Source organism: Homo sapiens, chromosome 4 (assembly GCF_000001405.40).
Source record: "Homo sapiens chromosome 4, GRCh38.p14 Primary Assembly".
Taxonomy (NCBI): Eukaryota; Metazoa; Chordata; class Mammalia; order Primates; family Hominidae; genus Homo; species Homo sapiens.
This window is the reverse complement of record NC_000004.12, coordinates 159,706,511-159,733,293: the sequence shown is the minus strand read 5'-3', so window position 1 is coordinate 159,733,293 and position 26,783 is coordinate 159,706,511. Positions and strand designations below refer to the sequence as shown.

At 39.5% G+C, this 26,783-nt stretch overlaps 2 long non-coding RNA genes across 3 annotated transcripts in view, besides 2 other annotated features; one reads left to right on the top strand and one right to left on the bottom strand.

Annotated features, from left to right (window-relative positions):
* Positions 1 to 26,783, bottom strand: part of LOC107986324 (uncharacterized) — a 487,144-nt gene that overhangs the window by 294,173 nt on the left and 166,188 nt on the right. The window contains exon 2 of one of the 2 annotated variants that reach the window (XR_001741911.2): positions 3,853 to 3,951. This is a non-coding gene — a long non-coding RNA (uncharacterized LOC107986324). Of the gene's footprint in view, positions 1 to 3,423; positions 3,952 to 26,783 lie in introns of those variants that run through there. The other variant, XR_001741912.2, reaches the window with a different exon arrangement.
* Positions 1 to 26,783, top strand: part of LINC02233 (long intergenic non-protein coding RNA 2233) — a 111,282-nt gene that overhangs the window by 44,491 nt on the left and 40,008 nt on the right. The window lies entirely within an intron of this gene.
* Positions 17,448 to 18,140: an enhancer, noted in NCBI's record as "H3K4me1 hESC enhancer chr4:160636306-160636998 (GRCh37/hg19 assembly coordinates)". NCBI's record gives its function as "activates a minimal SCP1, AML or CMV promoter by ChIP-STARR-seq in primed H9 embryonic stem cells {active_cell/tissue: H9 hESC(primed)}" and the evidence as "EXISTENCE:reporter gene assay evidence [ECO:0000049][PMID:30033119]".
* Positions 18,141 to 18,834: an enhancer, noted in NCBI's record as "H3K4me1 hESC enhancer chr4:160635612-160636305 (GRCh37/hg19 assembly coordinates)". NCBI's record gives its function as "activates a minimal SCP1, AML or CMV promoter by ChIP-STARR-seq in naive H9 embryonic stem cells {active_cell/tissue: H9 hESC(naive)}" and the evidence as "EXISTENCE:reporter gene assay evidence [ECO:0000049][PMID:30033119]".

Genomic DNA, 26,783 nt, shown 5'->3' with positions numbered 1-26,783 from the left:
TATGTTGCTTGCTCGCTTATTTGTGTTTTAGTTGTTTCTTGAATCTGTTTGGTAGGGGTGAGATGGTATAGAAGGAAGGTTTTTTATTTAAACTCTGCTAAAGATTCATTCTCTAATATAAACATGCAGATAGTTATACTCCACCAAGAAATTTGAACAGTCTGAGCTGCTTTCATATCCTGTTGAAACTCTTGTTAGGCAATTGAATTTTATGGCACCCATCATGAGAGTTTTTCATTCTGTTTAATTCCAAAAAAATTAGAAATCTAAATATGAAAATGCTGGCCTTTGGTAGTCGAGGAAATCCCAACGATGGAGGAAGAAGATATTTTACAATATTTAACTTACATCTTTCTTCCTGATTGTCAAACTGGATTTCAGTTGGCTTACCAAAAAAAGATTTATTTAGTATAAGGCTGTTAAAAAGCATACATATAAAACTCCAGGCCCTTAAACATAGTTAGAAAGTAACATGATAACCATCAAATCGAATGCAGTAACCATGACTTAGCATCACGTTTAATTCTGACCTTTCCCTGAAAACAAAGCAGAAATGGTAATAGAATCAATTGTGTGTTTTATTATTATTTGATAGAAAAAAAGCATTCTAGTCTTTTAATAAATTTTTTTACATTAACTTCTAAAATTAATTTCATTGAGTTCCTGCCATTTACAGTTCCAGGAATGGCATCATATATTAGTGACCCTTATGATGGAATCAATAGGCAATGAGCTTAAAAAGGATTTAAAAGACTCTTGTATCATTTAAATATGTTAGGTATTTGCATTGAAAGAAACAGAGAGAGCTATCAAAAGGGAATTTAGTATCTTCTTAGAATACCATATATAACAGATGCTTATGTTCACCCACTCCAAGGAGGTAAATTATGCCACCTCTGATGTGATGTACCTATTCCCGAAGTAAAGCGAAAGCTCTGCCTGAGACTATCACTTTCTGCCATGCTTTTCTTCCACAAAAACTAATCACTTTTGAGGCACTTTATTGTCACCAGGGTTTAAAAAAAAAGTCATTTTTTATTGTTGAACACTGATTGAACTCTCAGTTTATTCTAGTATATTATGAGAATCATAAACTCGTGTTTATTATCATGAATATCTTACCTTACAAAAGGGGTAGGGTGAGGACACATACCAGTGAAGTAATAGTTGTTTACTATATGAGCACTTCTCTGCTACCAAAAAAAAATGAGACACGAATGGGTAAAAGGAAAGTTCCATAACCATTTTTTAAATGATGGTTTTAAATGTAGACTCCTCACAAATATTAGATGATACTTATCTGAGTAGACCTGACTACCCTTAATTATGTAATTAATAGACGGCCCTGGCAGTTTTTGTTTATATCTTATGAAGAAGTAAAATAAGAGATGTGAGCTGTCAAGTCTTATATCTTCCCTTACTGGCTATAAGACCCTGGACAAGTTATTTAACCTCACAGTTTTCTCGTCCATGAGATGAGGATAATAATCAGCCCATAAAGTTGCTGTAAATATTAAATTAGATAGTATACATAAATCAGCAGCACATAAAGCATGAGAGGAACTAGAACTGCTGCTGCCTGAGGGAGGTCAACTGGAAAGCATGAAAGAAGACTACAGGCTCCAGTAGGAGCCAAACCAGGACCTTCCAACTTCCAGCAAAGGAGCCTTAACACTACGAGAACAAGAAACTGAATTAGCCCGCAACCTGAAAGAGCTTGGAGACTGATTCCTTCCCAGAGCCTCCAAAAAGAAATGTAGCTTTCCACACCTTGATTTCAGCCTTGTGGGATCCTAAGCAGAGGACCCGGCTGAGCCACACTGTATCCAGATCTCTGACTTAAAGGAGGTGAGAAGATAAGTGGATACTGTTTTTTGTTTGTTTGTTTGTTTGTTTGTTTGTTTGTTGTTGAGACGGAGTTTCGCTCAATCTCGGCTCACTGCAACCCCTGCTTCCTGGGTTCAAGCCATTCTCCCGCCTCAGCCTCCGGAGTAGCTGGGATTACAGGAGCCCGCCACCACACCTGGCTAATTGTTGTATTTTTAGTAGAGATGGGGTTTCACCATGTTGTCCAGGCTGGTCTCTAACTCCCGACGTCAGGTGATCCACCCGCCTGGGCCTCCCAAAGTGCTGGGATCACAGGCGTGAGCCACCGTGCCCAGCCCTAAGTGGATATTGTTTAAAGCCACTAAACGTGTGGTAATTTGTTATGGCAACAAGAAAAGTAATACAAAGTTCTAAGAGAAAATATAGTTGAAGAATTTTACACTGTTGGAATAGGAAAGATATTTTTAATCATGATCCCAGAGTCAGAATCTATAAAGTAAAAGACTGATTTATAAAATTCACAAATATGTAACATTTCTACACAGAAAAGTACAAACACATTTGATATTTAAATGAGAAGATGTAAAAAGTATTTACATTCTACATGATAGGCAAGAGATTTATTTAATAAAGACATTTTATGAATAAAAAAACAAGTTATTAGAAAAATGGACTAAATGTATTAAAAATTTATTAAAGATGAAATCTAAAGAAGGAATTCTTAGAAGTCCCCCTGTTAGTAATGAGAAGTTTGAAATTCAATGAAGATAAACATTTTGATGTATCAGATTAGAAAAATTTTAACAGTTTCTGCTATTCAGTGTTGACATGGGTGTAAGAAAATAGGTACCCTTGCATATTCCCAGTAGAAATGTTCTGCAGGGCAATTAAATGTGTATTTCAAACTTTTAATAAGTATATTTATTGATAAATTGAATTCACTTTTACATTTTCATCGGAAAAAGTAAATATAAGCAAGTATACAAATATATTAATTGCAACACTGTTGACACTAACAAAAATTAGAAAAAGGTGAAATGATTAAATAAATTTTGTATAATAAAAATATTAAAATAAAATTAATTATATCTTTACAATGATATACTGGCAGATATTAAAATGAAGATAGAGATTCATATAATACAGAGAATTTTAAGCACTGAATAGTTATGTTGAACTTGATATTTGTGGGCCTCTCACCCTGCCATATACTAGATGTGCAACCTTAAGTGAGTTACCTATGTCCTGGAATTCAGATACTTTTTCAGCAAACTGCTGATAATACCTACCCAGCTTATTGTAAAACTTAAATGAAATAAATATATAAAATACCTAGTACACATTCTGTTGTATAAATATGCTTAACAAATTGTAGTTACTATTATGTCTGTCTAAAATTATGAGATTTGTGTTATAAAAATGTATACAGTTTTATACTCATGATAAGAAGCAAAAACCACTTTTAACAATAAAACATTTTATAAATAAACTTCAGATCTTAGATATAAGTAAACAAACCATATTACATAGCAGGATAATGATGTTATTAGTAATCATGCATGGACAACTGTGCTCCACTCCAACTGGGCAGCCCGTCCAAAAATAAAATGAAATAGTCAAAATGACATAAAAAGAAATTACTCTGTAATTATGTGTTAAACAACATAGTTGCTCTGAATTTTGGCAAGAGAATAAATTTCAGGCTGAGATTTTTCCTAAAAAGTGCATCTTTTCATGTCACCATCAGACATCTCTCCAGGTTAGAGCAGCCCACGGTTTTGATGCTTGGGCATTTTTACCCATTTATTATGGGAGACATAACTGTATTTTCCATCTCTTCAATTCTCAGTATACTCACTTTATCACTGAAAAAATACTATTTAATTTTGAGAAAACTGTAAGAGAAATTGTTTAAAAAATATATCCTTAGAAATAAAAAGTATCAACATTGGAAGAGAAGCTCTCTGTAAAGGTTGCTAGTTATACAGACAAGGAACCATGATACTGACAGACTTAGTAACTTACCCAAGTTCATGGCAAAGTGGGGTCAAGAACCCAGTTCTCTCATATCTCTGCCAAGTAATCCCCTTATTCGGTCACCTTATCTTCTTATTAGGACGTTTTCTAAGAGAAGGAAGGAGAAATCTCAGAATTACGCAGGATCATATACAAGCTCCACCTAAGCTAGCATTCTTTCTCTAAGAGGCAGGCTTTCCTAAGCTCTTCTTAAAGAAGGTAGGCTGTTCATCCCAATGTCAATCTCAAGGCTTAAATTTCTAAGAAAGTTAAAGGAAAAAATAGCAAAATTTCCTAATTAACTATGGAATTTCTGGAGCCTCCGACAAGGCCGAATTGCCTCCTCAGTCTGACTTGAGGAAAACCCCATGCCAGCTGCTCATGCTTCATTGCCATGAGAGTTCTTGTAAGGCACAAATCTTTCCTGCTTACAAACCATTGTGTGGTGTGCCATGCTGTAGCATCAGGTCCAAGCTCTTTATTATGGGTCTTCTAGATGCCTTCAGTCTCTGCCATATTTTACATTACCTATAATTCCTAGGGGCCCCAGCAACAGGGGGCATGAGTCTTGGTGATTATAATACATCTGTTCATACCTCTTCCTCTGTTTCTCACAGTAGATCTAGGGAGAGGTTAAGATTAGGGCTATCTAGGAGGAAACTTTCTTTCCTCTTGAGAGAGTGTCCAGGATAGGTGAATCTAGATCATGTCTTTCCTGGAGAACCTAAAACCATTAATATAAGGCTTAGAATCAATAGAAGTGAGAATTAGGACTCCTGGAATTTTTTTAAAACTGTGTAATGGCACTTTAAATATCTTTTGTAGATAGACTTCCAGGCAGAGTGGTTTGCTGGTAAATGTTTAATAAGCTCTCTGGGGAAAAAAAGAAAGAAAAGTCTGTGTGTGTCTGTGTGTACATACACAAATACACACAGACACACACATATATATCATATATAGTTCATTATAAATTGTACTGGTATAAGGATGTATATCACACAACTTACAAATAATAAAATGTACCTACAATTTTTATAGGTACACACATAAAGGCAATTGATTCTCCAGAACATTTTCATTGATTTTTGCCAAACTCTTATATCAGTAGCCAAACTTTGGTTGCAAGTGATGAATGAGTATAGTTCTGGCATGAAAGCTGGTTGATCTTTATGAAAAGATTTACATTAATATTTATGATGAAAGTGAGACAAAGATATATGTTGAAGCTTTGCTTATTCAACAGCAACATGTGCAAATCATTTGTCAAATCAGATAATAATTTTCAAGTATTGGCAGAAGGTCACCCGTTCTTTTGCCATTTGCAATGTAATGGCTAAGGACATACATGTTTTTTAATTTAATATGCCCTATTTATCTTTTCTCTATCCTTCTCTTAATTTTACACAATGAATAAAACAATAAGTCAAGTCCTCATTTGTAGCATTTGCTACAAATACTCCTACCATGACTGATTTCAAGCTATCAACGTGGTATCCTTTGATACCATTACCATGATTGAAGTACTCCTACCATGACTGATTTCAAGCTATCAAAGTGGTATCGTTGAAAATGGAGTTGGGAAGAGATATTCAATAGCACATCACTATGTAATATTTCCACCATGTAGATACAATAAATGCAAATAACCTCAAGAGCTCAGCTATCATAAAATGTAGTAAAATAATTAGGAAGTGATGTTTTGAATATTTGTTATCTTGTTTTTAATATAATTAATTTAGCTATAAGTTTATGTAATTTAATATTTACTGACTGTGTTATTAATAAACTTTCTGAATGTTTAACAATCATCTGGTATGGGTTGGCATCAATCAGTTCCAAAATACCACTGGTTCCAGGTATTAATGAGTAACTCATAAAATAAGTTTTCAAATAGGATCCAAGCTCCTTATAACCACTGAGAAATTATACAAATTCTATGGGAAATACATCTATGAATTCATGATGAAACATTAAAGACATTATACGGTAGAAATCTACATTGAAATCATGCTTCATTTTCAAAGCTATAGTTTTACATCTTCACTCTGAGATATGCTACCAATAGACATCGCTGATGACGTATTTTCTTTATGAAACTAAATAAAAGGGTGTTGTATAATAGCTATCGTATTATTCTCACTCTTGATCTCCTTTCTACACCATCCAATTTTCCTATATTATCTACCTTAGTTGATGGTGCCACTCTCCTGATCCAAGTTGGACAAAATGGACCCAAAATGTCCATACTCAAGATGGGCATTTGGAAGGTCCTATCTAACCAACTGTAGGTTTTTCCTTCATTTTCATCTTATCGCACCACCACCATCTCTCTTGTTAGATATCTCTTGAATGCTTCAGGTTTTCTGGCCTCACCCCATACCCTGAGCTTTTGGAAAGACCTCAGCCATCCCTGCTGAACTCCCTGAAGGCACAAGCCTACAGTACTTCTCACTCATACACAGTGCCTCTGCATCTCCTCCTTTCCTGTTTACAGTAAGGCCTCTAGTCTTTTTTCATTGCCTTGAGAGTTCTTCTAAAGCACAAATATTTCCTGCTTACAAACCACTGTGTGGTGTGCCATGCTGCAGGATCAGGTCCAAGCTCTTTGTCATGGCAAACAAGGTCTCTCATGAAGTGGCTTCTGCCCCATCTCCAATTCTACAACTCCTTCTTACACTTCGGCAATAAGAAACTTGAATTTTCCAGGTACTGGCTCTTTTTATTTATACTCTGTTTAAAACTTTGCATTTGTATTTATGCATAACAGATGAAATGTGACAGAATAAGTGAGATGTTAACACCTTTCTTTACTGCTTAACTTAGGGCTGTATGTGTTGCATGTTCTTCACATTCCACCCTCTTCCCCTTTCTGTCAATTCTATTTCTTAAATTTCCCTTCAATCTTCTATTCCCATTCATACTGTCTTAGTCAAAACATATTATCATGTTCTTAGACTGATTTAGCCACTCACAACTGATGTTCTATAGATCTTTTTCCTTCCAATCCATTCTCACATTGCCCCAGATATTTATTTATTTATTTACTTACTTACTTACTTATTTTTGAGACAGAGTCTCACTCTGTTGCCCAGGCTGGAGTGCAGTGGTGCAATTATGGCTCACTGCAACCTCTGCCTCCCAGGTTCAAGCAATTCTCCTGCCTCTGCCTCCCAAGTGATGGGATTATATGTGCCTAGGATTACAGGCTTGCACTACCATGCCCAGCTAATTTTTGTATTTTTAGTAGAGACAGGGATTCACCATGTTGGCCAGGCTGGTCTTGAACTCCTGACCTCAAGTGATCTGCCCGCCTTGGCCTCCCAAAGTGCTGGGATTACATGTGCCCCAGATATTTTTTAAAAGCCATGAATCCCTTCTCAAATCTCTTAAAGTTGTTTAAAAATTTTAGATGGCCAAAAAGCTCTGCTGGCTCCTACTGATTTTATATGTCCTGGCTAAACAACATTTCTTCAAGAAAGCATTTTCTGGTATCGCTGGCTAAATCAATTTCCCATGTTGAATACTTATAGCATCTTATACAATCTAAAAATATAATAAATTAATGTGAAATTATCCTCTTAATGCCTATCATTTTCTCCACTATTTTGTATAAAAGTATGAGTCATATCTGTTTTGTTTACCAAGCAGAAAAAAAATTTTTTTGAATGCATGAGTTAGTTAAACAATCAAGTTGGCATCATTTCAGCTCTCAGGAAAGAAGCTCTACTCTTAAGGTGATTGATAACATAAACAAATAATTATAAAATTAACTGGCCTTACTCTCAGTTTTTCACACATGCACACCAAATGGTACAATAATTTCCACATATATACCATAGCTCTGATGCAGCATATTAGTTCCTATTGCTGCTGTAATAAATTACCATAAACTTAGTGGCTTGAAACAACACAATTTATCTGCTTTCAGTTCCAGAGAGCAGAAATCCAGAATGAGTCTTATGTGGCTTTAATCAAGGTGCCTGCAGAGCTAGATCCTTCTGAAGTCTCTGGGGTTGAATCCATTTCCTTGGCTTTTCCAGCTTCTAGAAGCCACCTGTATTCCTTTGTAACATCTCCTACTATTTACCTTGATATTCCTGCATCCGTCTTATAAAGACCCTTAAAACTACATAGGACCCACCTAGATAATCCAGGATAATATCTCCATGGAAGACCCTTAACTTAATCACATTTGTGAAGCTCCTTTTTCCATGTAAAATAACATAGTCACAGATTCCAGGGATTAGGACGTGAACATCTCTGAGGGATTGTTATTCAGCCTACCACACTCAACTATAAGAAATGTTTAACAATCCGTATAGAGAAAAATCTGCTAAATTTCCTGTCTGATTAAGAGAAAGAAAAATGTTACTTATTCAAAATCAAGTCCCTTCTGCAACAGAGTTTTAAATGACTGCAAAAATGAGTTTGGCTGCTTGAAGAGTTTTTTATTATAAAAATTTACAAATCTCATTAAGCTTTGTTACTGTTTTCTCAATTCTAAATGCACAGCTGTCATGCAAATGACATGCATGAGTTAGAGGATGTAAAAAAAAACCACTTGTGGGAAAACTTACTGATTACTTTTTTGATATTATAATGGAATTTTTTTTACTGAATCTTATATAATGATTAGGTACCATGAATTATTGTCTAGCTAATGGGAAAAAGTGAAATATAAAGGTCAGACTTATTTTTCTAAATCACAAAAGGTACTCTCCTAGACTACCTTGAAATAACTCTTGTTTACCCAAACACACACAAGAACTGCATTTGATCTTCAGATTTAAAATTCAAATTTAGAAAATACTCAGATACTATTTCTCATTTCTCCCTTAATAATGCTATAATTGGTCCTTTGCTAATAAGTCATTTGTTCACTTAATGGCCTCTGTAAAATTAAATTTAGCAGTAAGAGCTACCATCAGTGTGACCATCTTTAACAAGCAAAGCATTCAACTAAAATTATGACAACTTTATATGTGGCAATGATCATTGACCACTGCTCTAAATTTACAATTGATTGTGAATCCTACAAGTTTTGAGTATAAGACTCTTAGTATTGGTCCCTCATCACAGACATGATAGTAAGAAATATAACAGAAAACACTGAAGGGTGTCTACAAAGTCACATAACTGGTTTTATGTATCAGTCAAACATCTGCCTCCTTGTTTTACAGAAACATTTGACACAACCTGAAAGATTACCAGAAAGAGCCATTCTATAACTTTGGCTTATTGCTACATAAACTTAAACTGATTTGTTGTTGTTACAAAAATATTGAATAGTTTTTGTAAACTCATGTTAAGTAATTGAATTCTTTGTGCACATACTAACTGATTACAGAAGAGGTTCATCTAAAATTGTGTTATGTGTCAAGGGAAGCCCCATATATAATTTTTTAAGAACAGTATCAGTAATACCCAAAAGCACTTAATGTATTGATTTCATTATGGACATACAGTCATGCATTGCATAATGACATTTTAGTCAACAATGGACTGCATATACATCAGTGACCCCATCAGATTATAATAGAGCTTAAAAATTCATATTGCTGTGACATTGTACCTATTGTAAAGTCATAGTGCAATCCATTACTCATGCACTTGTGGTAATGCTAATGTAAACAAACCTGTGCTGCCAGTTGTACAAAAGTTTAGCAGATACAATTATGTACAGTACATAATACTTCATAATGATAATAAATAATTAGGTTGCTGGTGTATGTGTTTACTATATCATACATCTGATGGCAGCAGTGGCCCGTCTGGACCAGCTGCTGCAAACATGCTGGCTGCAGCAGGGGAGGCACCGCTGGGGTCGTGCACTCCGTGGAGCCAGCAGGGGCCAGGAATAGGCAGGAGCCCTGACCCCTACCAAGTCAGTAGGGCAGGAGTCCCGTGCGTTCAGGCACAGCTGCAGCCACCCAGCTGGGGCTCCAGATCCCAGCATCCCTGCACACTCAAGGGCCCAGGAAACCCCTTGCTCCAGCACGCTTGAAAGTGCCTGCTCCTGCTACTTGGCCTCTCCCCACTCCCAGCACCTGCTTGGGGGTGGAGCAATGTTGTAACCAAGCCTGGTGCTGTCATGACCTGACCGCATGTGTGATATGCTAGTCCCCTGCCTCCTTGGCCCTCTCCAAATTCGGGGTGCCAACGAGCATGGGAGGGAGGCTGAAGGAGGTCTGAGGGTGGCTCCGCATGGGCCTGCAGGCACCCCTTGGCATGAACAGTCTGGGCACTGTGGATGACATGTTGATGGTGGCAGGAGGCAGACAGGCTCCTGGGCAGAAAAAGACAGGTGAAGCCCCACCTTCAAGCCAGGGACGGCCTGAAGCCTGGGGGCCAGGTTGTCCATTCTGGATGGAGTCTGTGGCCCAGAGTGAGGACTTATGGTGCTTTTTCCAGGCCCACTCATGGCCACCCATGGACCAATCAGCATGCACTTACTCCCTTCTGAGCCCATAAAAACCCAGACCCAGCCAGACTCACACAGACATCAGGACTACCAGCTGCAGGAAGGAGCTACCTACTTCAGGTCTCCTCGATTTGTCAGGATGATCTGCCTGCAGAAAGGAGCTACACACTGTGGGTCTCCTCTCTGCTGAGAACTGGACACTTGTCAGGATGACCTGCCTGCAGGTAGGAGCTATCCACTGCAGGTCTCCTCTCTGCTGAGAGCCAGACACTCGTTGGAATGACCTACAGAAAGGAGGTACCAACTTCAGGTCTCCCAAAAGCTATTCTGTCACTCAATAAAGCTCCTCTCCACCTTGCTTACCCTACAGTTGTCCACATACCTCCTTCTTCCCGGATGCAGGACAATAACTCAAAACCCATTGAATGGAGGGACTGAAAGAGCTGTAACACAAACAGAGCTGAAACTCAACTCCCTGCTCACCACATTGCGGGTGATGAGAAGGAGAGAAGAGCTGTGGCCCTTCTGGGAGCCCAGACCTAGGTGCTCCCCGAGCCAGAGCTGTGATACCCTCTTTGGGGCTCTGCGGTTTCTGACATCTCCAAGCTTCCAGGCATCACCGCATTCCCCTCATCCAGACATCGGTGCCCACAGTGGAAGCCACTTGCAGTGCATCTGTTCCAGCCGCAGGCTTGCACGGAGCAGGCGCCTGTGCTGGTGCCTGGAGCTGCCCGCCTCACCGCAGCAGCCTGGCTGTGCACAGTGGCCAGACCCCACATTTGCTCATCACTACCCTCTCGCTGCTCCGTGCCTGACTCTCCCTCGGCAGGCATGGAATCCGGGCTGATAGTGCAAGCTCAGCACTGCCTGCCAGGCCGAGTGAGCAGAACGAGCCCGGCGGGCTCAAGCAAAACTCAGGCAAAGGTGCCACTGGCCACAGAGGCTTCTGCCTGGAAAGGCAACACCCCAAGGATCCTGAGACATTTCTTATCGTTATTTTAGAGTGTACTTCTACTTATTTAAAAAAAAAATGTAACTGTAAAACAGCCTCAGACAAGTTCTTCAGGAGCTTTTCCAGAAGAAGGCATTGTTATCATAAGAAAGGATAGCTTCACGCTATTATTACCCCGGAAGAACTTCCAGTGGGACAAGATGTAGAAGTGGAAGACAGTGATATTGATGATCCTGACCCTGTGTAGGCTTAAGCGCTAATGTGTGTGTCTATGTCTGAGTTTTTAACAAAGAAATTTAAAAAGTAAAAAAATAAAATAAATAAAAATAGAAAAAAGCTTATAGGAAAGGCTATAAAGAAAATATTTTTGTACAGCTGTACAATGTATTTGTGTTTTAAGGTAATTGTTATTACCAAAGAGTCAAAAGGTTTTTAAAAACTAGTTTATTGGCCAGGCATGGTGGCTCATGCCTGTAATTCCGCACTTTGGGAGGACAAGGTGGGCAGATCACTTAGGCTCACAAGTTCAAGACCAGCCTGGGCAACATGGTGAAACCCTGTCTCTACAAAAAAATACAAAAATTACCAGGTGTGCTGGCGTGCAGCTATAGTCCCAGCTACTCAGGAGGCTGAGGAAAGATGGCTTGAACCCAGGAGGCAGAGGTTGCAGTGAGCCAAGACCATGCCACTGCACTTCAGCCTCGGAAATAGAGCCAGACCTTGTCTCAAAATAAATAAATATAGTTCAGTAAAAATGTTACAGACACCTAAGATTAATATATTATTGAAGAAAAACATTTTTTCACAGATTTACTGCAGCCTAAGTGTACAGTGTTTATAAAGTCTATAATAATGTACAGTCATGTCCTAGGCCTTCACATTCACTCACTGCTCACTCACTGATTCATCCAGAGCAACTTCCAATCCTGCAGCTTCCACTCATGGTAAGTGCCCTATATGGGGGTACCATTTTTTATTTTTACTGTGCTTTTTATATGTTTAGGTACACAAATACTTCCCATTGTGTTATAATTGCCCACAGTGTTCAGTACAGTGACATGCTATATAGCTTTATAGCCTAGGAGCAATAGGCTAACTATACCATTTAGCCTAAGTGTATAGTAGGCTGTATTAGTCTGTTCTCATGCTGCTAATAAAAACATACCTGAGACTGGGTAATTTATAAAGGAAAGAGGTTTAATGGACTCACAGTTCCACATGGCTGGGGAGGCCTCATAATCATCGATGAAGGCAAATGAGGAGCAAAGTCACATCTTACATGGTGGCAGGCAAGAGAGCTTGTGTAGGGGAACTCCCCTTTATAAAACCATCAGATCTCATGAGACTTATTCACTATCATGAGAACAGCACAGGAAAGACCCTCCTCCATGATTCAATTACATCCCACTGGGTCCCTCCCTTGACACGTGGGAATTATGGGAGCTACAATTCAACATGAGATTTGGGTGGGGACACAGCCAAACCGTATCACAGGCTATACCATCTATGTTTGTGTAAGTACCTTCTGTGATGTTCAAACAATGATGAAATCGCCTAAAGATGCATTTTTCAGAACATATCCCCATTGTTTGTGATGCACGATTGAATTAACTAATTTCTGGTGAAATCAGGTGGCTCATTTTATTCACTATGTGATGCATAAATAATTTAAATGTCTAGATATGTAATAGGTATGTTAACTTGTTAAATAGAAAATATAGGTTGTCTTATCATGTTTGGTGCTGGGGCTTGAGATACAAGGATAAATTGCTAAATTACAGAAGTTCTGATATCTCTTTCTATTCTTAATCTAATACACTCTCCTTATGTTTGTAACATAACACAAACAATCAGATATGCAAGTGTTATTATAATAGGGTGACGTGAAATATGATAAAATTTTCTAGTCACTACATTACTACTCAATTTACCCCCTGTAGTTAATTTAGCTAGGTTTGATGTGTATAGTAGGCCTATCTTTTTTAGGAAAAACATCAAGATTCCTTAGGTGTTCTTTCCTGTTTTATGTTTGAGACTGCCAATCACCATCCTCACTCCGTAGCCACACGGCTCACAAACAACCCAAACCAGTATACCAAGTCCTTCCTGGAATCAAGGAAAGAGAGTCAGTTTTTCTCTGATGGTGAAGCTGAAAAAATAAAGCCAAGTGTCTTTTGTTAGCTTCAATTTCTTCCTCACAAAAAGAACTGGCATGGAAGAATTGATACTACTCACAATGAAAAGCAGTAATAATAATAAATGCAGAATAAAGCTTATGGCAGCATTAGTACTGTGGGTTGCAGTCATTCCAAAAATCTGTCTCTATTCCTGTGCATCTGCTGGCTTGGATATGGAGCCAACAAATTCCATTCTTTGCTTAAACTAGTACCAGTGCAGGAATTCACAAAAGGAATGGGATGAAAGAAAAGCAGATAATTGGGTTTTCACAGAAGAGATGACTTTATGATGATTTGAAAGACTGGCAAGATTTTGATAGTGGAGATGGGAAGTGGTGGCAGATAAGAAACAGCATCTCTAGATAAAATAGAAATTAATAATACGTAGTGGAGATGGGTATCCCCACTCCAGTCCCACAAAAGAGCTGGTGCTGAGAACTTTCCTTCCACAAGACCATATCCAGTCTGCATCTCTTAGTCCTTACTTTCTATTTTGCAGTGTGGGTTGGTCATTGGAAAAAGGAAGATAGCATGGGGAGTGTGGATAGAGCAAATGCATCCCCTCTATTAGATAATTCATGGACAACATAAAAGCTTCACCTGAGAGCCAAGGCAACACACTTCAATGGGTAAGTCAGCTGAAGGGACTGCTCAGCAGTTGCAGCATGCAGTGTTCACTAATATGAAATCAGACAGACATTTGTTTGCTCCCCTGGTGCTGGTAACCTATAATATTCGGCAGTTTCTCCAATCAGGAACCACTCCCCTAAAGTCACATGCCTTATACCAGATACCATTGAGCTCTCCAGCATCATAGCCCATTTCCTCTGAACCCTGCTTCCAGCAGAAGTGACTTTGACCTTGCCCCTATTCTCTCTTAAAGCTCATGCAATGACATGAATTCAGGGCCCTGCTTCCACCAGGGCCTCCTTTGGTTCTTAAGAATCTTTCTTCTCTTAACAGAACCCATGTCTTGCTAATCACAGTTTCCTTTTCAAATGTGTTGTTTCTGGAGTGGGCTTGAAAAGCCTAAAAAACAACCTGAACATTGTTTCTGATTCTCAGATCAATTCTGATGCCTCTGGATGTCTTAAACAGCTATTTACAAATGTGAAAATATGTATTGAGCGCTTACTATATGTCAAGCACTGTTTTAATGTCAAAAAGAAAAGAGCAAAGCCTAATCATTCTAAGCATTGTCTCATAACATTCTTCACCCTGGTCAATTTTGTGTCTCTGTCAAGATCATTTCATCTTATCTTTGCTTTACATCCCAAGGCCTAACAAACTCTGGATCTTGTGCTTCCTCCTTTCTCCTATCTAACCCTAAACTACTAGGGGGCTGCTTGCCTTCATGTATTTACTGGCACTACCAGCAAGAGAGTAAAGCATCTTCCTTGTGACCCCCTGCACCTTGGTAATGGAGTTATTATGTGCTTGCTTTGTGCTGCCTTCACTTCTTTGCTGCCTGTGGCCACTAGTATACTTATCCGGTTTGTTGTCTGGTGCTGGCGGCCTATTCTTGACTTTCTAGTGTGATACTCAATTGCACAGCATCCTGGGATGGGTCACACAATTGAGGCAGTGCCACTTCCTTCCTTTCAGTCTAGCTATTGGTCACCAGGTATGCCATAAAGAGTGATTTTTTTTTTTTTCATTCTCTTAGTCTGCTGGGATGACAATATGCCCTGCCTCTTCTACTTCCATGGCTCACTCTGGACTCCAGGGAAAACTTATCTATCCTTGCTCTACCTGTTGGTGTGGACTCAGGCTATTTCTAGGCACATTCTCCAAACTGTGCCATGCTACAGTTCTGAAAGGATCAATGAGGAAGGCCTACACAGTGAGCACCTGCCTTTGCAAGACCCCTAGTCTAAGAAGAGAGATTATCTTCGTGCATTTCTTTGGAACAGAAAGAGTTGAAAGTTGCCCCTCATATTCACGGAGGGAAAGGATATTGTGCTAACACTATTCTTCTGAAATCTCTGCTCTCTGGAAAGAATACTTTCTTTTTTTATTATTATTATTATTATACTTTAAGTTTTAGGGTACATGTGCACAATGTGCAGGTTAGTTACATATGTATACATGTGCCATGCTGGTGTGCTGCACCCATTAACTCGTCATTTAGCATTAGGTATATCTCCTAATGCTATCCCTCCCCCTTCCCCCCACCCCACAACAGTCCCCATAGTGTGATGTTCCCCTTCCTGTGTCCATGTGTTCTCATTTTTCAATTCCCACCTATGAGTGAGAACATGCGGTGTTTGGTTTTTTGTTCTTGCGATAGTTTACTGAGAATGATGATTTCCTGTCCTTTGTAGGGACGTGGATGAAATTGGAAATCATCATTCTCAAGAATACTTTCTTTAAAACAACTTTACATTGATTTTCCAATATGGGGAAAAGATGGTAGAAACAAACTTGCTGATTTTTCTTATTCACTCTGTTTTATCTCATGGCTCAAAAGAGGTCACTGAATCCAGCCATCAGTTTTCTCAGTTCTTTGTGCTTAGCAATTTGAGATGGAGGATGGTCAAGAGGAACTCAACCCAAACATAACAATTTGACAGAAGCAATTAGTTTACATGCTGATTCATTTTATACCTTAATTTTTTTATTTTTAGACTATTTGATAGTAAACTACGATGTCAACGCATACAAAGTTTGCAAACTTTGCAAAACCCCAAGGATTAGTTCTCAGACTTCTTTCTTCTATTCGCACACCCAAGGTGATCTTGTCCAGAATCAGGCTTTAAATCCCAACTCGATGGTGGTGACTCCTGAAGACCCAGACTCCTCAGTAAAATCTAGACTCATATATTTAATAGCCTATTTAGTATCTTTCACTTTTCAATTAATTCAGCAAATATTTATTGACACCTACTATTTGCAAGTCACTATTTCCATAGTCCTAGCAAAAAACTGATTGTTTCATAGTCATGGTAAAAAGTAACTACCAGAACTAGAATTTATTTTGTTCCATCAAATACTACTCACGTCAATGAACATGCTTCCAAAAGCCAGCCCATCAGTGGCATCCCTCTTCTTTATAAAGCCAGCCAATCAACCACAGCCTCATTTCAGCAAACATGCCTCTGAAATTCAGCCCCTCAAAAATATCCCCACCCCAGTGACCAAGCATCTCCAGCTGAGTTAACCCATTCCTGCCAGTGAATCTTCATCAATACCTGAACGCCATGCCTCCCAACAGCCCTATGTAAGATCAACACTCTTCTTTGTTTGGAGATAGTGTGCCTAACAAACATAGCTCTTTTTTTTAAGTGATAAATTCAGATTTTTGATTCCAAATTAAATGCTGATCTTATACTTCAAGAGTTGAATAAATGATTGGATGATGACACAATTTGAGTCAGATATAGAAAGCCACCATAGAACAAACCTAACTACTATAAAGATAAGAGAGCATACTGCTAGCTAGGTTTCTCCTGATACTTAGAACAAGCCACAAAAGGAGAGTGTGAATCTCAGAACGCATAATGACAAAACCAAGTTTATTGTAAAAGATGAATGTTTCCTAGGTAGCTGCATCTAGTGCACGCTGCTAGAGCTACCACAACAAAAGACCACAGACTGCGTAGCTTAGACAACAGAAATTTATTTTCTCACAGTTCTGGAGGTCAGGGTCCAACATCATGCATGTGCAGGTTTGGTTCCTTCTGAGGCCTCGCTACCGGATTTGCAGATGGCTGCTTTCTTTTTCTTTTTTTTTTTGAGGCGGAGTCTCACTCTGTCGCCCAGGCTGGAGTGCAGTGGCGCAATCTCTGCACTCCAGGTTCAAGCAATTCTCACTGCAACCTCTGCCTCCTAGGTTCAAGCAATTCTGCCTCAGCCTCCCAAGTAGCTAGGACTACAGGCACACGCTGCCATGCCCAGCTAATTTTTTGTATTTTAGTAGAGACAGGGTTTCACTGTGTTGCCCAGGCCAATCTTGAGCTCCTGAGCTCAGGCAATCTGCCCACCTCATCATCCCAAAGTGCTGGGATTACAGGCGTGAGCCACCTTGCCCAGCCAATGGGTGCTTTTTTACTGTGTCTTTACGTGGTCATCTCTCTGTATACACATTCTTCTAATGGCTCTCTATATGTCCAAATTTCTTCTTTTTATAAGGACACGAGTCATATTGGATAGGGCCCACCCTAAGGATCTCATTTTAACCTAACTAACCCCTTTAAAGACCTTACCTACAAATACAGTTACATTCTAAAAAACTGGGGATGAGGACTTGAACATATGAATTTTGGGCAAACACAATTCAGCCCATAACACTGCGATCCATGGCCCAGACCCCCCATTAAGACTAAAAGAAATTATTCTGGAGAAGCCAAGATGGCCGAATAGGAACAGCTCCGGTCTACAGCTCCCAGCCTGAGCGACGCAGAAGACGGGTGATTTCTGCATTTCCATCTGCGGTACAGGGTTCATCTCACTAGGGAGTGCCAGACAGTGGGCGTAGGTCAGTGGGTGCGCGCACCATGCGCGAGCCGGAGCAGGGCCAGGCATTGCCTCACTCGGGAAGTGCAACGGGTCAGGGAGTTCCCTTTCCTAATCAAAGAAAGGGGTGACGGACAGCACCTGGAGAATCGGGTCACTCCCACCCAAATACGGCACTTTTCCGACGGGCTTAAAAAACGGCGCACCACGAGATTATATCCCGCACCTGGCTCAGAGGGTCCTACGCCCACGGAGTCTCACTGATTGCTAGCACGGCAGTCTGAGATCAAACTGCAAGGCAGCAGCGAGGCTGGGGGAGGGGCGCCCGCCATTGCCCAGGCTTGCTTAGGTAAACAAAGCAGCAGGGAAGCTCAAACTGGGTGGAGCCCACCACAGCTCAAGGAGGCCTGCCTGCCTCTGTAGGCTCCACCTCTGGGGGCAGGGCACAGACAAACAAAAAGACAGCAGTAACCTCTGCAGACTTAAATGTCCCTGTCTGACAGCTTTGAAGAGAGCAGTGGTTCTCCCAGTACACAGCTGGAGATCTGAGAACAGGCAGACTGCCCCCTCAAGTGGGTCCCTGACCCCTGACCCCCGAGCAGCCTAACTGGGAGGCACCCTCCAGCAGGGGCACACTGACACCTCACACTGCAGGGTACTCCAACAGACCTGCAGCTGAGGGTCCTGTCTGTTAGAAGGAAAACTAACAAACAGAAAGGGCATCCACACCAAAAATCCATCTGTACATCACCATCATCAAAGATCAAAAGTAGATAAAACCACAAAGATGGGGAAAAAACAGAACAGAAAAACTGGAAACTCTAAAAATCAGAGCGCCTCTCCTCCTCCAAAGGAATGCAGCTCCTCACCAGCAACGGAACAAAGCTGGATGGAGAATGACTTTGACGAGCTGAGAGAAGAAGGCTTCAGATGATCAAATTACTCTGAGCTACGGGAGGACATTCAAACCAAAGGCAAAGAAGTTGAAAACTTTGAAAAAAATTTAGAAGGATGTATAACTAGAATAACCAATGCAGAGAAGTGCTTAAAGGAGCTGATGGAGCTGAAAGCCAAGGCTCGAGAACTACATGAAGAATGCAGAAGCCTCAGGAGCCGATGCAATCAACTGGAAGAACGGGTATCAGCGATGGAAGATGAAATGAATGAAATGAAGCGAGAAGGGAAGTTTAGAGAAAAAAGAATAAAAAGAAACGAGCAAAGCCTCCAAGAAATATGGGACTATGTGAAAAAACCAAATCTACGTCTGATTGGTGTACCTGAAAGTGATGGGGAGAATGGAACGAAGTTGGAAAACACTCTGCAGGATATTATCCAGGAGAATTTCCCCAATCTAGCAAGGCAGGCCAACGTTCAGATTCAGGAAATACAGAGAATGCCACAAAGATACTCCTCGAGAAGAGCAACTCCAAGACACATAATTGTCAGATTCACCAAAGTTGAAATGCAGGAAAAAATGTTAAGGGCAGCCAGAGAGAAAGGTCAGGTTACCCACAAAGGGAAGCCCATCGGACTAACAATGGATCTCTCGGCAGAAACCCTACAAGCCAGAAGAGAGTGGGGGCCGATATTCAACATTCTTAAAGAAAAGAATTTTCAACCCAGAACTTCATATCCAGCCAAACTAAGCTTCATAAGTGAAGGAGAAATAAAATACTTTACAGACAAGCAAATGCTGAGCGATTTTGTCACCACCAGGCCTGCCCTAAAAGAGCTCCTGAAGGAAGTGCTAAACATGGAAAGGAACAACCGGTACCAGCCACTGCAAAATCATGCCGAAATGTAAAGACCATCGAGACTAGGAAGAAACTGCATCAACTAACGAGCAAAATCACCAGCTAACATCATAATGACAGGATAAAATTCACACATAACACTATTAACTTTAAATGTAAATGGACTAAATGCTCCAATTAAAAGACACAGACTGGCAAATTGGATAAAGAGTCAAGACCCATCAGTGTGCTGTATTCAGGAAACCCATCTCACATGCAGAGACACACATAGGCTCGAAATAAAAGGATGGAGGAAGATCTACCAAGCAAATGGAAAACAAAAAAAGGCAGGGGTTGCAAGCCTAGTCTCTGACAAAACAGACTTTAAACCAACAAAGATCAAAAGAGACAAAGAAGGCCATTACATAATGGTAAAGGGATCAATTCAACAAGAAGAGCTAACTATCCTAAATATATATGCACCCAATACAGGAGCACCCAGATTCATAAAGCAAGTCCTGAGTGACCTACAAAGACACTTAGACTCCCACACAATAATAATGGGAGAATTTAACACCCCACTGTCAACATTAGACAGATCAACGAGACAGAAAGTCCACAAGGATACCCAGGAATTGAACTCAGCTCTGCACCAAGCGGACCTAACAGACATCTACAGAACTCTCCACCCCAAATCAACAGAATATACATTTTTTTCAGCACCACACCACACCTATTCCAAAATTGACCACATACTTGGAAGTAAAGCTCTCCTCAGCAAATGTGAAAGAACAGAAATTATAACAAACTGTCTCTCAGACCACAGTGCAATCAAACTAGAACTCAGGATTAAGAAACTCAGTCAAAACCGCTCAACTACATGGAAACTGAACAACCTGCTCCTGAATGACTACTGGGTACATTACAAAATGAAGGCAGAAATAAAGATGTTCTTTGAAACCAATGAGAACAAAGACACAACATACCAGAATCTCTGGGACACATTCAAAGCAGTGTGTAGAGGGAAATTTATAGCACTAAATGCCCACCAGAGAAAGCAGGAAAGATCCAAAATTGACACCCTAACATCACAATTAAAAGAACTAGAAAAGCAAGAGCAAACACATTCAAAAGCTAGCAGAAGGCAAGAAATAACTAAAATCAGAGCAGAACTGAAGGAAATAGAGACACAAAAACCCTTCAAAAAATTAATGAATCCAGGAGCTGGTTTTTTGAAAGGATCAACAAAATAGATAGACTGCTAGCAAGACTAATAAAGAAAAAAAGAGAGAAGAATCAAATAGACGCAATAAAAAATGATAAAGGGGATATCACCACCGATCCCACAGAAATACAAACTACCATCAGAGAATACTACAAACACCTCTATGCAAATAAACTAGAAAATCTAGAAGAAATGGATAAATTCCTTGATACATACACCCACCCAAGACTAAATCAGGAAGAAGTTGAATCTCTGAATAGACCAATAACAGGATCTGAAATTGTGGCAATAATCAATAGCTTACCAACCAAAAAAAGTCCAGGACCAGATGGATTCACAGCCGAATTCTACCAGAGGTACAAGGAGGAGCTGGTACCATTCCCTCTGAAATTATTCCAATCAATAGAAAAAGAGGGAATCCTCCCTAACTCATTTTATGAGGCCGGCATCATCCTGATACCAAAGCCTGGCATAGACACAACCAAAAAAGAGAATTTTAGACCAATATCCTTGATGAACATTGATGCAAAATTCCTCAATAAAATACTGGCAAACCAAATCCAGCAGCACATCAAAAAGCTTATCCACCATGATCAAATGGGCTTCATCCCTGGGATGCAAGGCTGGTTCAATATACGCAAATCAATAAATGTAATCCAGCATATAAACAGAGCCAAAGACAAAAACCACATGATTATCTCAATAGATGCAGAAAAGGCCTTTGACAAAATTCAACAACCCTTCATGCTAAAAACTCTCAATAAATTAGGTATTGATGGGACATATTTCAAAATAATAAGAGCTATCTATGACAAACCCACAGCCAATATCATGCTGAATGGGCAAAAACTGGAAGCATTCCCTTTAAAAACTGGCACAAGACAGGGATGCCCTCTCTCACCACTCCTATTCAACATAGTGTTGGAAGTTCTGGCCAGGGCAATTAGGCAGGAGAAGGAAATAAAGGGTATTCAATTAGGAAAAGAGGAAGTCAAATTGTCCCTGTTTGCAGATGACATGATTGTGTATCTAGAAAACCCCATTGTCTCAGCCCAAAATCTCCTTAAGCTGATAAGCAACTTCAGCAAAGTCTCAGGATACAAAATCAATGTGCAAAAATCACAAGCATTCCTATACACCAACAACAAACAGAGAGCCAAATCATGAGTGAACTCCCATTCACAATTGCTTCAAAGAGAATAAAATACCTAGGAATCCAACTTACAAGGGATGTGAAGGACCTCTTCAAGGAGAACTACAAACCACTGCTCAAGGAAATAAAAGAGGATACAAACAAATGGAAGAACATTCCATGCTCATGGGTAGAAAGAATCAATATTGTGAAAATGGCCATACTGCCCAAGGTAATTTATAGATTCAATGCCATCCCCATCAAGCTACCAATGCCTTTCTTCACAGAATTGGAAAAAACTACTTTAAAGTTCATATGGAACCAGAAAAGAGCCCGCATCGCCAAGTCAATCCTAAGCCAAAAGAACAAAGCTGGAGGCATCACACTACCTGACTTCAAACTATTCTACAAGGCTACAGTAACCAAAACAGCATGGCACTGGTACCAAAACAGAGATATAGATCAATGGAACAGAACAGAGCCCTCAGAAAAAACGCCGCATATCTACAACTATCTGATCTTTGACAAACCTGAAAAAAACAAGCAATGGGGAAAGGATTCCCTATTTAATAAATGGTGCTGGGAAAACTGGCTAGCCATATGTAGAAAGCTGAAACTGGATCCCTTCCTTACACCTTATACAAAAATCAATTCAAGATGGATGAAAGACTTAAACGTTAGACCTAAAACCATAAAAACCCTAGAAGAAAACCTAGGCATTACCATTCAGGACATAGGCACGGGCAAGGACTTCATGTCTAAAACACCAAAAGCAATGGCAACAAAAGACAAAATTGACTAATGGGATCTAATTAAACTAAAGAGCTTCTGCACAGCAAAAGAAACCACCATCAGAGTGAACAGGCAACCTACAGAATGGGGGAAAATTTTTGCAACCTACTCATTGGACAAAGGGCTAATATCCAGAATCTACAATGAACTCAAACAAATTTACAAGAAAAAAACAAACAACCCCATCAAAAAGTGGGCAAAGGACATGAACTGACACCTCTCAAAAGAAGACATTTATGCAGCCAAAAAACACATGAAAAAATGCTCACCATCACTGGCCATCAGAGAAATGCAAATCAAAACCACAATGAGATACCATGTCACACCAGTTAGAATGGCAATCATTAAAAAGTCAGGAAACAACAGGTGCTGGAGAGGATGTGGAGAAATAGGAACACTTTTACACTGTTGGTGGGACTGTAAACTAGTTCAACCATTGTGGAAGTCAGTGTGGCCATTCCTCAGCGATCTAGAACTAGAAATACCATTTGACCCAGCCATCCCATTACTGGGTATATACCCAAAGGACTATAAATCATGCTGCTATAAAGACACATGCACATGTATGTTTATTGCGGCATTATTCACAATAGCAAAGACTTGGAACCAACCCAAATGTCCAACAATGATAGACTGGATTAAGAAAATGTGGCACATATACACCATGGAATACTATGCAGCCATAAGAAATGATGAGTTCATGTCCTCTGTAGGGACATGGATGAAATTGGAAATCATCATTCTCAGTAAACTATCGCAAGAACAAAAAACCAAACTCCACATATTCTCACTCATAGGTGGGAATTGAACAATGAGATCACATGGACACAGGAAGGGGAACATCACACTCTGGGGACTGTTGTGGGGTGGGGGGAGGGGGGAGGGATAGCATTGGGAGATATACCTAATGCTAGATGACGAGTTAGTGGGTGCAGCACACCAGCATGGCACATGTATACGTATGTAACTAACCTGCACAATGTGCACATGTACCCTAAAACTTAAAGTATAATAAATAAATAAATAAATAAATAAAAAATAAAAAAATAAAAAGAAAAAGAAATTATTCTCCCAAGTGCTAGAAGTGCTGCCAGGACACAGCCTTCAGCTATCAGCCCTTTTTACGAAGTGCCCTGCCCAAAATGTCTCCTTCCCCAAGGTCATGTCCTCTTCTCAGGGTAGTTCATATCCAAAAACTGATCAACACAGCGCTGCAAAGGCCCACCCCCTCGCCTTAACCTAGGAGGAATCTGAAAGCCCATCCTATGATGTCGGCTGAGGCTCCTGTTGCAACTACATCACGTATCAATCTCTCCCTCTGCCTATTCCTACTTCCTTCCCTTCCATTGTTTGGATTTCAAGAGTACTCCCTAATGCATTTCCTACACGCTAATCTCCATCTCTGAGTCTGCCTCCTAAGGGATCCATCTTATGACTCTTCTGAAATAGAATCCTGATTACACTGGAAAAATAAGTAGAGGCAAATCTAATTAGTTAATGTATATGAGATCACAGAAAACGGTATTCTATGAAAGGTTATTAAAATGGGGTGGAGTATTTGGGTTTCCTTTAAATACTATTTTGCATGAATTGTTTATCGCAAGTGAGAGATTTGAGTTCTTTATGGAATGTTTTCATAAAGTCATTACATTTAGATATTCTTAAAGGATGATATTTATTTAAGCTGTCACTGAAGTATGGAGTTTTTAGCTTTTGATAAATTTTCCCCTGGGTATAAGGGAGAGAAGCATATGGTGCTTAAGAGAACATGAGTTAAACAAAGAATCTGCTCAGGGATGCAAAAATTCTGGTCTGGACAACTTTGCTTCTCCAGAGGAGCAGATGTGAATGGATTTTCTCACCTTGGTTGCTGGTAGATGCCTGTAATGTGAATGGTACACAACATGCTTGTCATTCTGTTGCATACTTATTAAGACTGAATTTCTAAGCACTAATACCAACAGTTTTCTCTCCAGGCCAAAATAAAGACCCAGTACTGCCAAATATGTAGAATAAGGGAACTGAAGAGTAACCAACTCCCAGGGCAGGTGGCACATCAGAAACCCCTTCTCACTAGAACACAACTGAGCCTCTAAGTGAACACAAGCATATTTCTCCCTTTGCTTACAGGGTACTCCAAAAGACGCCAACTCCATCCCACCCCTCAGATTATAAGCATCTACTATATTTATGTAACCATAATATTGTGATACTTTGCCTCCATAGTTTTTGTTATTGTTAATTAATCGAGACCATAGTCTGACTTCCAATATCACAATGAGGAAAGTAATATAATCAGGTAGTTTGTCATGAGAAATGCTCATGCTATTAACAAATCCCTCTAAACCCACTGCCATCAAAACTCACCCAAACAAACATACGCCAACAAACCCAGACAAATATACCACTCACGCACAAATAAGTTAGCAAAAAAAAAGAAGCATATACCTTAGGGTTGAACATAGATCAGCATCAAGCAGTCATGTGCAAACTTTTCAATGAACTAGCTGAAAGATTCACTTGACTTCATATTACATATTTGAATGAATGTGGTCAGGTACTTTCTTCTTGGAGTTGGCCATGATTATTAAAAGATGGACTCATAGAGGAGGAGGAAAATCTTTCCAATATATATGATTTATGAGTAAACCTTGACTAGTGTCATTAGCAACTCTTTCATTCAGGTCTCCAGAAATAATCAATCAAAATATCAGGCACAGAGACGATACAAAGTAGAGAAGGCCATCACACTGAAGTCAAATATCTAGAATCTATGCACTATGTAATTGCTTCTCAAACCATCTTGTGGTGAATAACCAGTTTTGTTTTTTTATTTCCAATTCATTTTTATATTGATTGATATTGTTGGTCTATATCACGTTCATAAAAATGGGTCTACAAGAATAGTAGGGTGTTTTGACAATATCAAATTGCTATAAAATGTTTCTATTCACTGGTTCTTATAAGTCTCTCTACTTATATTTCTGCAGACTGTAACAAGCCATTTGTGGAGATGCAAATGTGGGTCCACAGGTTATACTTTGAATAGCACATTTCTACGTAATCTGTGCGCCACTAAAAGGAAGACACAAGCCTCCCAGCCTACCATCATTAACTCCTTGTGGAACAAAATGAAAAAAACATAGAAACAAATTTTGTGTGTTCAAATGCTTAAAACCTATCTCCCTAACATTACCAAAGATTAACTTGGCAATGCATACTTACCTCTTACTAATTTTTTAACAATATGTCTTAAGTGGACAGGAACATAAATCTTTAACAATAAAAAAATTATTTTCTAAAATCCATGTATTTTGAAATTCTGAAAGCACTTTGATAGATCAGTGTTTGTTCCGTAAATATTTGGGACATATTATGTGTTCTAGTTTCTGCCTTAGACATTGGACCTGCTTAGCCTGATGTAAAGAAGTTCCCTATTTAGAATTCCATCTAGCAAAATATCAGATGAGGGATATTAGTCACTAGAAGAAAAGCCCCCAGATCTCTAGTGGGTCTGTGAGGATAGTTCCCATAGTGACCCCAGGTCTCTAGTGGGTCTGTGAGGATAGTTCCCATAGTGACACTATCAGTGTGAAGTAGGCCAATTTAAACTGGGTTGCTGCACTGCACATGATCAGTTCCCACTGGCTGCTGTGAGCAAAGGCTTTACTGCTGTTCCTGCAGGAGTGTGCATCAATCATCAGGTTAAGCCTGCAGGCAGGGTTCTGCCTTTGGTACAGGCCATGCATAGGCTTAGACAAGCAACTTGATATTTCACAATGTCACATATCAATGCACTTGAATTAGTGAAGTATTTTTGTAGTATAAATCATTTTTCTGATTAAAGAAAGAAAATATTTTTTTCTGGCTTACTAGTTTGATTAAAATTAACAAGTAGCTTTTTCAAATAGCTTGTCGGTTGACTAGTCAATACCTAGTCTCATGCATTTCATAAGGATCAGTTATGACCCTGAAACATTTTTGGAAGACCAGTCATAATTCTAAATCTTTCTTCAACAACTGAATAAGATATATTATAGCCAATCAATCTGT